At 45.0% G+C, this 18,082-nt stretch overlaps 1 long non-coding RNA gene across 1 annotated transcript, besides 2 other annotated features; it reads left to right on the forward strand.

Moving 5' to 3' along the window:
• Nucleotides 3,717-4,916: an enhancer, noted in NCBI's record as "CDK7 strongly-dependent group 2 enhancer chr13:29148510-29149709 (GRCh37/hg19 assembly coordinates)". NCBI's record gives its function as "activates an origin of replication core promoter dependent on BRD2, BRD4, P300/CBP, MED14 and CDK7 cofactors, with strong dependence on CDK7, by STARR-seq in HCT116 cells {active_cell/tissue: HCT116}" and the evidence as "EXISTENCE:reporter gene assay evidence [ECO:0000049][PMID:35650434]".
• LOC105370135 (uncharacterized) lies at nt 4,356-13,909 on the forward strand. The gene is made up of 3 exons (XR_941799.3): nt 4,356-4,478; nt 9,323-9,464; nt 12,014-13,909. It is a non-coding gene; the product is annotated as an uncharacterized LOC105370135 (long non-coding RNA).
• Nucleotides 12,877-13,377: an enhancer, noted in NCBI's record as "H3K4me1 hESC enhancer chr13:29157670-29158170 (GRCh37/hg19 assembly coordinates)". NCBI's record gives its function as "activates a minimal SCP1, AML or CMV promoter by ChIP-STARR-seq in primed H9 embryonic stem cells {active_cell/tissue: H9 hESC(primed)}" and the evidence as "EXISTENCE:reporter gene assay evidence [ECO:0000049][PMID:30033119]".
• Nucleotides 13,910-18,082: the final 4,173 nt, after the last annotated feature.

Genomic DNA, 18,082 nt, shown 5'->3' on the forward strand with positions numbered 1-18,082 from the left:
TCTTTTTTTTTTTTTTTGAGACAGAGTTTCACTCTGTTGCGCAGGCTGGAGTGCAGTGGCACAATCTCAGCTCACTGCAACTTCTGCCTCCCAGGCTCAAGTGATCTCCCATCTCAGCCCCCCAAGTAGCTGGGACTACAGACACACACCACCATGCCTGGCTAATTTTTTGTATTTTTGGTAGAGATCATGTTGCCGGGGCTGGTCTGGAACTCCTGAGCTCAAGCAATCTGCCTGCCTCGACCTCTCAAAGTTCTGGGATTACAGGCATGAGCCACCGTGCCCAGCCAGATTCTTTATGTTTTAAGAGACAATGTCAACAACGACAAAAAAATTCTTGGTGGGGTAAAGAAGTATTTTATCATAGGCGCACGCACACACACACACACACACACACACACACACACACACACACACAATGTGTATATATTGTTTTGTGTACTAAAGTGAAGGACTTGTTTGGACAATTGGAGAGTGAGTTTGTGGCACTTCCTGAGGAAATATGCAAAACCTGACTGGGGGCGAGCGGAAATCTGGAGCCATTTCTCTTTAGCTATTTACTGCAACCTTTGGAACAATTAAATTTGATTGCTTTTTAAAGACGGTAATAATGAGATCTCTTTCTCAGCAGAAGCCAGAATTGTGAGATTCTGCTCCTTTCTGTTAGTTACCTTTCTTTTAAAAAATTTATTTATTTTTTAGAGACAAACTCTCGCGCTGATGCCCAGACTGCAGTGGCGCAATCATAGCTCACTGTAGCCTCAACCTCCTGGACTCAAATGATCCTCCCACCCCAGCCTCCTCTGAGTCACTGGGACTACAGGTGTGTGCCATGCCAGGCTAATTTTTTAATATTTTGTAGAGATGGGGTCTCACTGTGTTGCCCAGGCTGGTCTTGAACTCCCAGCCCCAAGCAATCCTCCTGCCTTGGCCTCTCAAAGTGCTGGGAATACAGGTGTGAGCCACCATGCCTGGATGTTACCTTTCTATGTGCCTGTGTCTACATCCCCAGTAGAGTGCTAGCTCCTTTTCTTTGTCTTTGTGTACTTCACGGACCCTGCTCTGGGCCTTGGGTGCAGGTCTCAGTCAATGCTGCTTGGTTGGTTAATTGTCATCTGGGACTGCCAATTTCCTTCAAAACCAAGAGGATGGCTTGGCTTGGGAGCTTATACCTTGAGCATAAAAGACAAGCCAAAGACAAATTTAAAATGTGGTCTTGGTCTGGCTGTCTGAGCAGACCAGGATGGGACCAGATATGCCTGAGAGAACCCAGCAGAGCGGTCAGACAGCCACAAGTGCTTGTCTCACCTTGGCTCACCCAGGCCTGTCCTCTGTCCCCTGGAAAGGAAGAGCAGAGCCTTGCTCATGGCTTGGAATTTAGACGTGATTTTTCAGCTGGATCAGTCACCTCTGAGTCCTGTGTCACTTGCTTCTCTCTGCGTCTCCGTCTCTCTCTGTGTAGGCTGAGTTTCTTTGTGGCATGTAAAAAAAAGGAAATGGATCAGGTGTGGTGGCTCACACCTGTAATCCCAGCACTCTGGGAGGCTGAGGCAGGCCTCTCATTTGAGGTCAGGTGTTCAAGACCAGCCTGGGCAACATGGCGAAATGCCGTCATTACTAAAAATACAAAAATTAGCTGGGCAGTGGTGTGTACCTGCAGTCCCAGCTATTTGGGGGGCTGAGGCAAAAGGATCACTTGAGCCTGGGAGGTTGAGGCTGCAGTGAGCTGTGTTTGTGCCAATGCACCTCAGCCTGGGCGACAAAGTGAGGCCCTGTTTCAAAACAAAAAGGAGGAAAAGGTATGGCAGTTCCTATAACAATGCCCTTCACCTCCCATTTGAACAGTTCTATTTCAAAGAGGAGTGATCCTTGTTTTTAAAGAAGAGTGATTTCTACCTGTGAGGACCAGAAATGTCTCTTCTCCCACACCCCCAATTCCTATAGTGCTTCTTAATTCTGGGAATGCCACAGTTTGTAATCCATTCCTTTTTCCTCTATTAAAATATTAACACTCTTCAGGAGCTCATTCAAAACATGGTAGCAGCTATGCATACTTTATCAGGTACTGGGCTTTTCTTATTTCACTAGAAAAGAAGCAGATAAAAAGCATGGGTCCTGGGAAAGGGGGGCTAGAAAGAGATGTAGCTTTAGGAGAAGAGGAGTTGGGGGGAAAACGAAGCCAAATGGTGAAGCTGAAGATCCCAAAGAGAAACTTTTCTTCTTCGTCATTTTCCCCAATATCTGCCCTGCCCATCTGTCCCTGTGTATACCTGTAGGCCATTCCTATGTGTCTCCTTAGGCATGCCAACACCATTCCACCAGTGCATGGTACTAACTGATCCTTTGAAATCACTTCAACATTTGGCATTGAAACCATGGAGAATCTTCTGCATTTTCAGTTAAGTACTTTTCATTCATTTACGCAACAAATGTTGATTTAACACTGTGCTGGGCATAGAAGATATGACAGATAAGTTGGTTTCACTTGTATAGGGAAAAGAGTTGTGCCCATGTCTAATTAGACTGTGCTTTGTAAGAAAAAAATGTATACCTGTTTCACTTAGTGAGGGAGAGAGAGAGAGAGAGTGCCTGTGTGTGTGCGTGCACGTGCGTGAGACATTGAAAGTACGAGGAAATTGGTGAGTTTTTGGGAGTTTTGCTACATCTATTTCTAAGTATTTTGAATATTCCAATTATGTGAATGTCTTAATTTTTCATGTCGCAATTCAAGCCATTGTCTCCTTATTTCTTGTGGTCATAAGGTTATAAATAAAGAACAAATTCCTGGAAAGTCATTTCATACCATCAAGCCACTAAAAATTAGTAACAAAAGGAAAAAAAGTAGACCACAAATATATGTTTTGTATTTATTTGTTAATATTAAGTGCATAAAACTAAACACTTTAAAGCAATCTTGCTAATATTGCTTTGGGGGGCTTTTCTGCAAAGGATGTACCTTCTGGAATTCTTTAAAATGAGTCCATCCAAATCTACGCTAAAGATGGCTTCTACTGTCAGCACAGTCACCCTCCACTGCCAGAAGCCCTCGACATGATACGAAACTGAAAAGGCTTCCTTCTCAAGCATCCTCCTCATTGAATATGTACAAGTTGAAATTCCTCGAACGGTAGTAGCCAAAAATTTCTCTTTCCTTGCTCACGGGCAGCTGGGAGGTCAGTCTGTCACAAGTCCCAGGCTGTTCATCTGGCATGTGCAGACAAAGTTCTAAATGCCCCCATCCAGGACTGGCTAGATTATTTGTGGGACCCAGTGCAAAATGAAAATGGCAAGCCCCTGTTCAAAAATTAAGAATTTCAAAATGATGACAAGAGAGCATTGAACCAAGCATGGGCTCTTCTGAGCATGGGGCTCTGGGCAAATGTAGTACATGACGCCGGCCTTGCGCTCCTCTGGATGGACAAACAGCTTTGAGACACTGGCCATGCTACCCTCCTAACCCACATCCAGAGCTCTAGGGCACTTCTTCAAGTGCAATTCTCTGCCTATCTTGAGCAATGTCCCTCTCTTGGCCCCACCCCACCGCTTCTCTCTTAAGTTCCCTTTCTTCCTACCTCCAAGCATTTTGACACATCTAGATATGACCTATTGGATCTCTGGATTCAAACGCAAGGCCTGTTCCAAAATCAGTTCTAATCCCACATACATATGGGTCTTTCAACATTTCCTTGTTATCTCCATGCTCTCCTCTTTGGGGTGTCCAAATGGATCTTAACTACCAAGTCCTCAAGTGTCACACAGGTTGTGACACAGTGGGCACATGGGAGGTGGGATGCCAGGGGTTAATCTGGCCTACTCAGAGGGCCAAGAAAGAGCCAAAAGGAAATGATGTTTCCAACCATTTCCTTCACTTCACCTCTGTATCATTAATTTTTTTTTTTTAATTCCACAATTTTCCACCTCCTGCCATTTCTCTTGGTCTTGTTCCTCTACCTTCTCTGTGAAGCCCTTGTCAAGGCCATCTTGGACCCACAACTAGAGTGGGAAGCCAAGGATGAAGGGGCAGCAAAAGGCCCTGGAGCAAATGTTCAAGCACAGAGCCATGCACACTAGGCCACGAACTTCCCGTCACACATGCTCTGGAGGAAGAGGAAATGCTTGACGCATCATCGCTCAGATTGCCTTGGTGGAAACTGCTTTCGATGGTTCACGTCTAGCAGTGTAACTCGATGACTCACAAAACAGCCTTTATTCATTGACGTGTTCTTCAGAGGACTCCATGAAATGACTCACACCTCTATTTACTAGGTTTTATTGGGAATGTGAGGTGAAATCTTTTCCCCTGGGAACAGGAAGTTTTCAGTGTTTCTTAGAAGAGGACGTGGGGACCTGATAGCAACACACATGTTGTTGATGGGCGGACTTTCTCTATCAGGGAGGCTCAGCTGGAGCAACAGAGCAGCATTTCTGGAGGAGGGCATATCAGTTTTGACACCTGTTTTCAGAATCATCCACAGAAGGTAAGGCTGGACGAAATGTTTCCTGTTGTGAATATTTAGAAGAGAGTCTGAGAATCAGAAAGTATTTTACGGAGCATTGATGAAAGGTTCAACAACTGTGTCTTGTGACGGCAGTCATTGATTTTTTTCCTATTGGGAATATGAGGGTATCCACAGTCAACGGGAAACGAGGGGAGGCCCAGTCAACCCCAGCACCCCAAGGATGATTGCTTGCTCACGGGAACTGAGCAGACTATGAACTCAATAGCCATAGACTTTGGACTCCCAGACAGGTGTGACAAGCAACAGCCGGGCAGATGAGGGACTTTACACCAGAGGCCAGCAGATACCACAAAGCAGATGCCTTCATGCCTGCAGGAGCCCAGGGGCCCTCTCTTCCTCAACGGCCACAGAACGAAACAGCCACACTCCCCATCCCCCAACATCAGATGCCATCTTAGGGAAAGAAGCCAGAGGGAGGCAAGGCCATCTGAGAGAGTGAGCGATTATACAAGAGAAGCAATTAGAATCATCAAGTGATTACACGAGTAAAAATCATCAAGTGATTTACACAAGTGATTATAAAAGAGAAATAATTGAGGCCGGGCATGGGGGCTCATGCCTGTGATCCCAGCACTTTGGGAGGCCGAGGTGGGCAGATCACCTGAGGTCAGGAGTTTGAGACCAGCCTGATCAACATGGTGAAACCTTGTGTCTACTAAAAATACAAAATTAGCCTGGTGCAGTGCTGCATGCCTGTAATCCCAGCTACTTGAAAGGCTGAGGCAGGAGAATCGCTTGAACCCAGGAGGCAGAGGTTGCGGTGAGCTGAGATTGCTCCATTGCACTCCAACCTGGGCAACAGGAGCAAAACTCCGTCTCAAAAAAAATAAATACATAAAAATAAAATAAAAGAGAAATAATTTAAATTTTGGAGTGGGGTAAGCTTTAACCTGGATGAGCCATTTCATGAAAATGTTCCCAGTAGCCAATGGATGGGGACAGAGAAAAATAAAAATGATCCAGTTATTTATAGACCAAATTAAATCATGGTGGGTTAATCTATATGTCAAATGGTACCTGCATGAATTGGCAACCCTGCTGCACAATTGGTTACGTAACACTTGTTACACATCAGATCCTATCCCAGAAGTGGGGGACAAATTCCAGTTTAAGACAGAGGCAGCTGGGAAACAATTACTATAGCACTCTTGGTCAGCTCTGTGTTGGGGGAATGCCTCAGAAGCCCAGGGGCCCAGAAGAAGGTTATTTAATTCAGAATACAGGCTCAGAGAAGGCTTCCTGGGAGTTGGGACCTGAGCTGAATTTGGAAGGACAAGCAGGTGTTACCTATTTGGAAGGACAAGCAGGTGTTACCTAGAACTTAGATTCTAAATGAACAAACAGAGGAAGCACTTCCAAGGCCAGAACAGCAGTGGGGAGGCACAGAGGTGAGAAGCCCGTGATGAGGTCAGGGGAGGGAGAGGAGCCTACACACCTGGGTGTGCAGAAGAACCAAGAGATGAGGCCAGAGGGATAAGCGGGGGTCAATCAGGAAAAGACTTGGGAGGTGAGCTAAGATGTTTGAATTTTGTTTTGAAGCTTTGAAGAATTATTGAAAGTAGTGGGCACCTGTGATCCCAGCTACTCAGGAGGCTGAGGCAGAAGAATCATTTAAGCCCAGGAGGCAGAGGTTACAGTGAGCCAAGATTGTGCCACTGCACTCCAGCCTGGGCAACAGAGGGAGGCTCTGTCTCAAAAAAATAAATAATTATCAAAGATTCTAACTAGGGGTAGCACAGAAGCAGATTCTCATGGGAAAAAGGTAGTTAAAGTGGGAGGGTGGAGGATGAGTGAAGGGGGGCAGGGGAAGGGGGACCAGTGAGGCAACGATGGTAGAAATGATGACAAACCGTGAAGGTCTGAACCCAGATGGTGGTGTTGCAAGTAAGAAGCAGGATTTGGGTTGAAGACATAGCTGAGAGACAGAATCTACAGGATCTGATAACTAATCAGATGTGGGAGGTGAATGAGAGGGGCAGAGGGGCTTCCAGAGTTCTGGCTGGATGGTAGCGCCAGGGCAAGTGCCTTGCTCCAAGGGGAATACCAGGGCCACAGTGTTCGGGGGCAAAAAGGAGGCATTGGGCTTGGGGTGCGATTGATGATGTGGTACCTGACAGCCAGTAATTCAGAATGTCTCCAAAAAGTAAAATGAAAACTTGGACTTCTCCTTGCACTTGTCACTTGGGCAGTTATTGGAGACCTTCATAAGAGCAGGTTCAGTGGGGTGACAGGGATAAAAGCCAATTTGCAGTGAATGAGAAAGTGAAGTTACTCTCTTCTCCTGATGCCTTATTCTTCCTGGGGGGCCGCTGTCTTGCTGAAGGGCCCCCTTGGAAACCAGAGGGCATCACGGACTCCTCCCTCTTTCCACATGATGTACTTGGCCAGTTTTTGAGTTCTGTTGATCCCTTTCCCTTAGGATCTCTTGATGCCATTCCCTGTTCTCCACACTCCCTCCCGCCTTAATCCAGTCTTTCCAAGATTTGCTGCCTAACTTTAAACAAAACTGAGGAATATTTTTTAAAAACACAAATCAGGATGAAGTTTCACTTATAAAGTTCTTCATGACCAAGTCCCCAAGATTCCTCTCCACCCCCCAATGCCTCCCATTCTAGCTCTGCTCCCCAAAGCCCTCTGCTCTGCCTGGACTGAGACCCCAGGGATCCCCCCTCCCTTCAGCTCTCAGCTCCCTGTGCTCATCGCTAGCATGGTACCCCATGGTCAGCACTGCCACCTGTTCGTCCTTGCTCTCCCCACCCCACCGCCAGCTCTTTGAAGATGGGGACCCCACTGTGTTCATCTTTTGTGTCCACAGCCGCCAGTAAAGTAGCCAGCATGGATGTACAAACTCAATACGTGTATGCTGAATAAAGAAATGAACAAGTTGTCAGTTCTCCAAGAGACTTGATTATGAGGGGGTTTATGATTCAAAGTGATGTCTTTTTTTTTTTTTAAGATGGGAGAAACTGAGGTTTAGATGCTGAGAGGAGTGAGCCAGCAGAGACAGAGAGAGGTTGAAATACAGGAGAGAGGAGGATTACGTGGAGCCATGCCCCTGAGCATGCGGGGTGGGATGAGAAGGGGGTGGGAGCTGGAAGGCACAGGAAGCAGGGACCTGGGGGTGGGGAGATGCCAATTCCATGGGGCAAAGGTGGGCTTAGAAGCAGAAATGTTCCCATGTGCTTGAAAACGAAGTTGAGGGCTTTTTCTCCTGATGGCCTCTATCTGCTCAGCAATGAGGAGGCAAAGTGTGAGAGTGAATGGGATTGGGCTAGGGCAGAGGGTTAGCAGAAAAGTGAAAGTTTGGAAGAACCACTAGGCGGGATGAGTTGGTCATGCTGTGGTGACAACGCCAAATCTCAGTGACATGACACACGACCCACACTCATTCTCACTCTACTTAGAAGTCCAGTGCAGCTGGACATCAATGATCTGATTCTTAGAATTTCTCAAGGGCCCAGGCTGGCTTCATCATTTTTGGGAAAATGCAGTGCCCCACCTTGCGGCTGGGATGCCAGTCTCCCTTCCCGCAGGTTCTGCTGCACCCACCCATAGCCGATGGCCGGCCTCCGAGGGGCTGCCATCTCCACACTGGAATGCACTTGGTACCCAGATTGGGGTGGGCATAAGGCCCTGTTTTAGCTTCCCACTGAGTGTGTCGGGGGGTTGACACCTGCTGCCTTGCTCTGCCCTGAGATGCTGCAAGCCGTATGCCCAACTGCTGTGGCTTGAATGTTTTTGTCCCCTTCAAAATTCTTGTGTTGAAAACTTAATCCCCAATGCAACAGTGTGGGAGGTGAGGCCTTTTGGGAGGTGCTTTGGTCACTGGGGCTCTGCCCTCATGAGTGGAATCTTGCTTGCCATTGCAAAAAGGGCTTGTGAGAGTGGGTTCACTCTCTCTTGCCCTTTCGTCTTCTGCCTTCTGCCACATGTGGATCAAGTAAGAAGTCCTGCACCAGATGCCAGCACCTTGGATCCCGGACTTCCCAGTCTCCAGGACCGTGAGATAGTCAATTTCTGTTCTTTATAAATGACCCTGTCTCAGGTATTCTGTTATGGCAGCACCCAACAGACTAAGACACCAGCCTGCCACATGTGTCCTCCTGGGCCCCCACCAGGGATGGAGAGTGACGGTGGAACGTGGTCTCCTCACTTCGTGTGACCCAGCTACTTCCCTGGGTAAAGGGCAGCATCTGTAGTAGGGTGGGGGCAGGGAGGGGAAATTGGGCAGGGCCAAGGCACCGGGAGAAGAACAGATGTCTGAGAAAACATCCTGGGAGTCAACAGGAGGCAGGAGCACGCATGCGTGAGGCTCCACATTCCTGGCAGGCTCCATTGTCTCGTTACACTTCACTTAGGGAGCACAAGTTCAAAGGTAAAATTCTGAAGAATTTCAAGAGAGCAATTATAGAGTGTTAAACCCTAACCTTCTGGGTGCTTGTCCTGTGCAACTGCACTGGCCCCGCATGCCCGTGGTACAGGCCCTGCCTCTTCCCTCCTTCCCCTCCTTAACATCCTGCCTTCCCTCCTTCCTCTCCTTAACATCTTGCAGTGGCTCACATTCTTTTTCTTTTCCTCTTTTTTTTTTTTTTTTTTGCAAAAAAATCCAACTGCTTTAACCTGGCTTTCAGTTTTAGGCCTCCTAACATACTGTTCTCACTGCCTGAACATGTTTACGCCCTCCTCAAATGTCCCTTGGCCTAAGTCTTATTCATCATTGAGATCTCGATTTCAGCACCACTTTCTCCAGGAAACATTCCGAGACTCTTTTGTTTAAATGCCTCACTTATTTGGTCCCACAGCACAAAGATCAAATGCAGAAGGAACTGCACGTGGAAAGGCCAGCCACATACATCACAAAAAGAGGACTGAAGTCAGCACACAGCTTGAAAGCCGGACTACAGGCCTTTCTTCAAGAATGGCTGGAGTGACCCTGGGGACTTGGTAGGATATAGGATGGAAGCCTTTGTGATTGTGCTGTTATTAACACATACAGGGGTATAATTGCCAATGGTCCACACTTTTGTTTACTTGCCACGTGAGCCATCTAAGTATCCTGGGATTTTATCGTCATTACCTTGGCACATGCTAAATACTCAGTTCCTATTTGCGGCCGAATCATTGAATAAAAGAATTATATTTAATAGTTATATGCTCAGGTTATTGTAGCACCCTAAGAATGTAAATTATCCATTTTAATATCAGGGTTTCCTCAAAAAATAGAATTATTCTCTGAAACAGAGGATCTTTACCGGAGTTCCCCAGGGACTCCTAGGGAATCCATGAATTGGTTTGGGGTGGAAGGACTACAAATCCCAAAGATTGAATACTAAATTTCGTGGGTACATGTAGTTTGGGGAGGCAGATGATCAAAGTTTTCAGTATTTTTGAATGCATTTTGACTGGTCAAAGGTAATAATTTTTTTTTTTTTTTTAGACAGAGTCTGGCCCTGACACCCAGGCTAGAGTGCAGTGGCACAATCTCCGCTCACTGTAACCTTCGCCTCCTGGGTTCAAGCCATTCTCCTGCCTCAGCCACCCGAGTAGCTGGAATTATAGGCACCCACCACCATGCCTGGCTAATTTTTGTATTTTTAGTAGAGACGGGGTTTTGCCATGTTGGCCAGGCTGGTCTTGAACTCTTGACTTCAAGTGATCTGCCTGCCTTGACCTCCCAAAGTGCTGGGATTACAGGCATGAGCCACCACACCCAACAAACAAATCCTTTTTTTTTTTTTTTTACTTTTATTACAGGTCAAGGGGTACATGCGCAGGTTTGTTACATATGCAGATTGAGTGTCTCTGGGGTTTGGTGTACAGATTGTTTCATCACCCAAGTGATAAGTGTAGTACCCAATAGGTAGTTTTTCAATCCTCACCCTTCTCCCACCCTCTGTCCTCAAGTAGGCCCAGTGTTTATCGTTTCCTTCTTTGTGTCGATGTGTACTCAGTGTTTAGCTCCCACTTACAAATAAGAACATTCAGTGTTTGGTTTTCTGTTCCTGCATTTGTTTGCTTAGGATAATGGCCTCCAGCTGCATTCATGTTGCTGCAAAGAACATTCTCTCATTCTTTTTTATGGCTGTGTAGTATTCTATGGTGTATATGTACTACGTTTTCTTTATCCAGTCCACCATTGATGGGCATCTAGGTTGATTCCATGTCTTTGCTTTTGTGAACAGGGCTGTGATGAACATACGCATGCATGTGTCTTTACAGTAGAACAATTTATATTCCTTAAGGCATACACCCAGTAATGAGATTGTAGGGTTGAATGGTAGTTCTAAGTTCTTTGAGAAATCACCAGACTGCTTTCCACAATAGCTGAACTGATTTACATTCCCACCGGCAGTGGATAAGGGTTCCCTTTTCTCCAAAACCTTGTCAGCATGTTATTTTTTGATTTTTTAAAAATTTTTTGATAGTAGCCATTCTGACTGGTATGAGATGGCATCTCATTGTGGTTTTGATTTGCATTTCTCTCATGATTAGTGATGTTGAGCATTTTCTCATATGCTCGTTGGCTGCATGTATGTCTTTGGAAAAGTTGTCTGTTCACATCCTTTAAAACAACAAATCTTTGTTCTGAAACAGTAGTTTTTAAAGTGTTCTCCCAGAGGAATAGCATCAGTGTCATTTGGAGACTTTATCAGAAATGCAAATTCTCAGGTCCTACCTCAGACCTGCTAAATCAGAAACTCTGGGCGAAGGGCCCAATGGTCTATGTGAAGTCTCCAGTCTTCTGTTGCACTTCCAAGTTTAAGGACCACTAAAGAATTAGAAATAGGCTGTTATGTTTCCAAATGTAGAGGTAAGAAGTGGGGATAAAAAATAAAAGGCAGAGAGAGAGAGAAAAGAAGACAAAGTATAGCAAATAGAAAACAAAAATAAGGCAGTAGAAATAAGCCAAAAAAAATCAGTACTCAAAATACTTGTGAACATACTAAGGTCACCAATCAAAAGACAGAGAGGCCTGGATTGGTTAAAAGCAACCCAAAGTATCACATTGTACCTGGTAAATATATTCCATTTTTATTTGTGGATTATGCCTCAATAAACCTGGTGGGGGGGAAAGTTTACAGAAACAAAAACACAACAATGAGTAAGTCTAGAAAGGAAAACTTACTAACATTTCCAAAGCTCCCACTTCATCGTCGTGCAGCTACTAGAGTTTTACAGTTCTGCGAGGTTGCGAGGTCACGGGCTGGTCCAAGGTCATGAGCTGGTGGGGATCAGAGCAGGAGGAGGCCCTGGCTCCTTTCCCCCACTCTGCCCTAAGCAGGATCAGGTCTCTCTCCACTGTGCGGTGTGTGCAGCTTGGTTCCAACCTACGTGCCTGACTATCATCTCTTATCCTTATTTACTGCCACCTAAAAGGAATTTTCATTTTTATGTATGGGTATATATGATCATCAAAGGCATTTGTTTTACTCTAGTAGGTTTTCATAAGGCTTCAAACAGTAAGTCTTTTCTTTTTTTTTTTTTTGTTTCAGCTGCAAGAAGCAAGAGGATTGGGCAAAGGTCAAGAGGCCATTTGTCAAACAGCACAAGACATGTAACAGGATATGCACAGTGAGACATGGCGGGGGAGAGCCCCCACGGAGCCCAGGGGATGTATGACATCATAGTCACAGTCCTACATCTTCCTCTGTTTCCCCAGCTACCCTGGCTATCTCTGCAGACAGGAAGAGAGCTGCCAAGTAGGGCTGGAAAGAGACACTCGGCAGGTAGATCTTGCCGTAACAAGGAGAAGAAACTCATGGATTTCACCTAAGACCAGAGAAGGGAACATTCCCAAGAGACTTGGAGGTTCCATCTCTCAAGCAACCTGAAATTAGCAGGGATTTCTCCTGCGGCTTTGCCATGATGTGGGGAAAAGGGAAGTGGTTTTGACGCAAGGGACAGAGGGAGTGTTGGCGGTGGCAGGGGGAGCAGGGGCAGCAGCTCACTTACGGGTTAAAACCACCCTGGAGAGGCCCAGCTCTCTGAAGTTCGACATCAGAATATACATTCGAGTAAGGGTGGTCAGTTATTCAATTTTTTGAGACTCACTTTCCTTGTCTTTATACATGAGGTTTAACAAAATTGTCAAGAAGGTGACAGAAAACAGCAGAGGAAAAAGCTGCAGTATAGTGGATACTCCATAAATATTGGTTCCCTTGGCTATATTCGTCCCCTCTTTTTCCCAAGTGTAGAGCAACATGGATTAAAATTTATTTTGTATTTCTAGATCTCCAGCAAATGTATTTAGAACTGTTCTATTAAATTTTCCTGGAAAATAAAGCATCCCTTGCATTGAGGCTATCTAGGTAATCTATTTAACAGCATCTAAGTCTAGAAATTCAGAAACGTCTATATGTGCGCCTCTCTCTGTAATGTCCTGATTCTTTTTTTTTTTCTCATCCACTTGCCCATCAGTGGTTCAGATATTCTCTCTATATTTGTGTTTGCAAAGTTCTATTCCTGAATGGAATTTTCTCCCAGGAATTCCCGACCGAGGCCATCTGCTCTGCAGGCAGAAAGTGAAGCGACCGCAGCCTGATGCAGCCAGGAAGGCAGAGGCTGAGAGGAGGGAGTGTGGCATCAGAACAGAGTCCGCCGGGGCTCTGGCTTCCTCCTCCGGGATCAAGGGAAATGTGCGAAGCACAGTGCAGAATCCCGGGCGGCTCATGCCCACTCACTTGCTGGGGGAACAGATAAAACACGAGTGAGGGGGAGATTTTGTGGGCTGACACTCCCCAGAAATGCTGTGTGCACATGGGCGTGGTGATTGATACTTAGCGCTTTGAAGCAAACACCGTGAGACTACTCAGCATTGGGAGAAGCTGTCCACGCGGACGCCCAGGAAGCAGCCCGGAGGATAGGGTGCCCCAGCAGTACTGCAGAATCCCAACTACTGACGAGAATGAGTAAAAGAATGCACAGATTGGACATGTAAATAAACAGGTTAAATACCCTGGCAGCTCTTGAAAACAAACCCCTTTTTCTGAATCTGCTCAGAAACCTCCGTTCTCATGGTCACTCGGCAACATGCTGCGGAGAAGAAGACTCGGCCTCGGAACAGCCATGCCCGGGTTCGATCCCAGTCCTAGCTTGTGGCAGCCGGGTGACTGGGCATGATTCCTGGGCTTCAGTCCTAATCTGTAAAACGTAGGGGCTGAAGGAGGAAGCGGGATGGAGTGGAGACCATTAGAATTAATGTATGAGGCCAGGCGCAGTGGCTCACACCTGTAATCCCAGCACTTTGGGAGGCCAAGACAGGCAGATCAGGAGGTCAGGAGATCGAGACCATCCTGGCTAACATGGTGAAACCCCATCTCTACTAAAAATACAAAAAATTATCCAGGCGTGGTGGCACGTGCCTGTAGTCCCAGCTACTCGGGAGGCTGAGGCAGGAGAATTGTTTGAATATGGGGGGCCAAGGTTGCAGTGAGCCAAGATCGTGCCACTGCACTCCAGCCGGGGCAACAGAGAGAGACTCCATCTCAAAATAATAATAATAATAATAATAATAATAATAATAATAATAATAATAAATGTATAAAAAGTGAAGTCCCTGGTACCTGTTAAATGTTCAGTAGGTGTTTGTTGTTGTTATTGGGCAAAAAGTGAGTTTTGCCCTCTCCCTTGTCCGTGGGTGAATAAAGGCTGCCTAAGCCCATTTCCTATGGACCATATCCTCAAATAGCACATACCTACCGGTAAGTGTCCATGTCACCCTCTGAGCAGGACACCAAAACCACATTTTGTGATCTCTAGTTTTCTGGGATTTATAATATAAAAAGAAACCTGATGCAACATTCCAGGGCTATTACAAGTCAAATTCCAATGCTACAAACTCTAAAAGATCATAAAATACATCCTAACAAAGATTACTTCCAATAAGAGAATCTGGCTGGCTAAGGTTTTAAAATCTCTTGGTTTGTCAAATAGACACTTTGTTATAATTTGATTTTACTTGTGGCATTACTAGCAAACTTTGTAAATCCCAAGTATACTTTGGCAGGGTAGATGGATGGAATTGTTGGGAAAGCCTTAGGGTGGAAAACATTAACTAGAGCTTAAGAAAAAATGTACAAAGGAAATGAGGAAAGGATAGGCAGATGGGGAATTCAGTGAGGTTTCGATGGACTCGTGCTCGGTCCTGTGCCTGATATCTTCTTCCTCTTGGTGTGTTTCTTTGCAGAACATTGACAACCCTCAAGATAACAGGGGCATCTGAGAAATGTAGGAAGCAAGGCAGGTTGCTTGGGGAAATATTTGTGGACTGCCTTCTTCTAAGGTTATTCCTATTTTAAAGGACTTGAAAAAGTACTAAATATGGGTTAACATCACGAAAGAGTTTTCCTTTACTCCCAATCTTTACTAATCTCAATCTCAATACCTACTATTGATTCCCTTCTTTCCAGTCCCTAGTAATGACTGGCACAGAGTAGTTGCTCAATAAAATACTTTCAAATTGATTAAAGTCATATAAGATTACTTATGGCTTCAGTGCTAATTCTTGCCACATAAATTTGTGTTTTATACATTTCAAAGTGAGATTAGTTTCACTTTCAAGATTGTGACACAAGACAAAGGGCAGCTCTGTGGGATCTGACGTGATCATGTCAGGGGATCAGACAACCAGCTTTATGATGGATTTCCAACAGATCATTGTGAATCTCTTTCAGACACTCTGCCACACAGCTGCTGAAAAAGAAATATGAGCTGACAAAGCATTCTTCATTTTACCTAAACAAGAAAAGAAAAGAGGCCACCATACCCCAGGGCACAGGTGACAGACAATAAAATAGCAAAAGTCAGTGAATTATGGGGATTGAGTTTTTGCTGGGATGCAGATGGAAACATGGTCACACCCAGTAAACAGAGGCCTATGTCTGGATTCTACAGATAATTCTATAGGAAAGAAGATGAAATGGACCATAGACAGCGAATCACTGTTGTGATTAAGAAAATGTAGATCTCCAGCTTGGGCAGCATAGAGAGACCCTGTCTCTACAAAAAAAAAATTAAATTAGCCAGGCACCATGATGTGTGCTTGTAGTCCCAGCTACTTGGGAGGCTGAGGTAGGAGGATCACGTGAGCCCAGGAGTTGGAGACTGCAGAGAGCAAAGATCACAGCACTGCACTCCAGCCTGGGTGACAGAATGAAACCGTGTCTCTAAAAAAACTAACTAAATGAAAGTAGATCAACTTCAAAGACTTACTTTCTGGAGATCAGTTAAAGCTTTGTAGGCACACATACACAAATCCTACGACACGCCTAAAACAGTGGTGTGCCCTAGGTATGTTAATAGAATAGTTAGGGTAAAGATTTAGTTCGGAATATTTGCACAAATTAACTTCGGCTTCTGTTTAAACATATTCTTATTAAAATTTTCATATTGCATACTTATGCTGAACCACATTCATAAAACATCAAGGATTCTTATTCAATGCTTCATGAAGGGCACTATATTTGGCACAAGACTCTGCCCCAAGGTGTTTTCACACAGCTGGAAACCATGTTTCCTCAATGTACAGGCTCCATATTGCTGAGGCTTTTGAAGCCAACAGGGTTTTTGCCACAGGGGAGCCCCTGCTGAGCACCTGGGGATTCCCTGGGACAGTGAGAGCCCCAGGGAGCAGGAGACAATTAGAAACCGACTCAGCATAATAATCACTCTTCGGGCCTTTGCTGTTTATTTTCTCACATTCCTCCTGCCAGCCACCTCATAATTCACCTTCCCCCCAATTCTCTGACACTCTTGACACAGAGCAGAACCAGCAGAACTGAATGGAAGGTTGCAAATGAAAGAGGCTGGAGGGGTTTGGGAATGGGCCCTGGGCAAGGCAGAAAGGTGGGATGGCTGAGAAGGGATTTAATGACAATCCCAAGAGCTCCAAATGGGGCAGGGGAGGTGGTGTCCACAGGGAAGGAAATGAGAGGAACAGGTTTACATTCCAAGAGGACTGGATCAAGGAACGGCTTGCCAGTCTTCTGGAAGTTTTTGACAAAAGATGGGTGACAGGGCCTGGTGGTCATGCTACATTGAGAGGCAGCCTCAGCTGTCTGAGGATATCCAAATACTCATTTGGAGATGGAAGGCATGTGACATACTTCCTCCCTCCCTACACTAAATGTTCCTTACTTCCTATCTCTCTCCACAGGGCTCACCTCCTATTGTATTTTGGCCCTTGTTTCTTTCTTCTTCTTCTTCTTCTTCTTCTTCTTCTTCTTCCTCTTCTTCTTCTTCTTCTTCTTCTTCTTCTTCTTCTTCTTCTTCTTCTTCTTCTTCCTCATCGTCGTCTTCTTCTTCTTCTTCTTCTTTCTTTTTTGAAACAGGGTCTTTGCTGTGTCACCCAGGCTAGAGTGCAGTGGCATGATCACAGCTCACTGTAGCCTCAAACTCCTGGGTTCAAGTGATCTTCCCATCTCAGCCTCCTGAGTAGCTGGGAGTAGCTGAGTAGCTACAGGTGCATGCTACCACACCTGGCTAATTTTTAAATTTTTAGTAGAGATGGAGTCTCACTGTGTTGGCCAGGCTGATCTAAAACACCTGGCCTCAAGTGATCCTCCCTCCTCAGCCTCCCAAAGTGCTGGGATTATAGGTGTGAGCCACCACATCTGGCTGCATTACTGGCTATGAGAGAGAAGGCAGAAGAAGACTGCCCTCTGGGAAAAAAAAATGAATAAAATACTTTTTAAAAGTTTTTAAAGTTTTTAATGGCTGTTATTTTACCATTATACCTTCATTTATTCCCATCTTTAAAAGTTCCTAAAATTTAAATACCCACACATCAGAGGCAGTGTCCATTAGTAAGAATAAATGGCAGTTGGTTGCCATAGAAATCTTTAGTTGAAATTATCTGAACGCTTCAGATGCTCTAGCCTGGCCTTCTGTTTTTCAGGGCCCCAGACTGGCTAGGCTGGGACTTAGATTTCACCGAGAGGAACTTTCCCTTCTGGCTGGCTTAGCTTCCAGAACATGAGCCTGGCTAGGGATTTATATTGCCCTAGATCCAAAAACAAAATTAAAGGACAACAAACATATTGGGAAAATATTTGCAATCTGTGACAAAGGCAAATCACCTTAATATAAAAATAGCCTTTACAAATCAATAAAAGATGAATACCACACAGAAAACCAACAATGACAATTAAAAAAATGAAGCCAAGAAAAACATAAAGAGATAATTTGTAAGCGAGGAAATACAACATGATAAAATCGCAAATGAAGAAAAACACTCCACACTCACAAGTAATTAAAGAAAAGCAAAATGAAGCAACAATGAGATCCTTTTTCACTTATCTAATTAGCAAACATTTTGTTTCCTTTTTTTAGTGATGAAATTCAGTATTGGCCGGAGTTCAGAAAATGAATCTCTTTTATTCATTGGTAGGAGTGTAAACTGGCAAACCTTTTCTGGAGAGACATTTGGAATATTTATTAGTGGCTCTTCAAAGCAGTATTTCTCATTATATGCACCACAGAGAATTGGTTAGGTAAGCTACGGTACATCCACATGGCGCCATTAAAATGTTGCAGAAGAAAGATTCAGTGATGTTGAGAAAAGT

The sequence above is a fragment of the Homo sapiens genome, chromosome 13, assembly GCF_000001405.40.
Source record: "Homo sapiens chromosome 13, GRCh38.p14 Primary Assembly".
NCBI classification, from domain to species: Eukaryota; Metazoa; Chordata; class Mammalia; order Primates; family Hominidae; genus Homo; species Homo sapiens.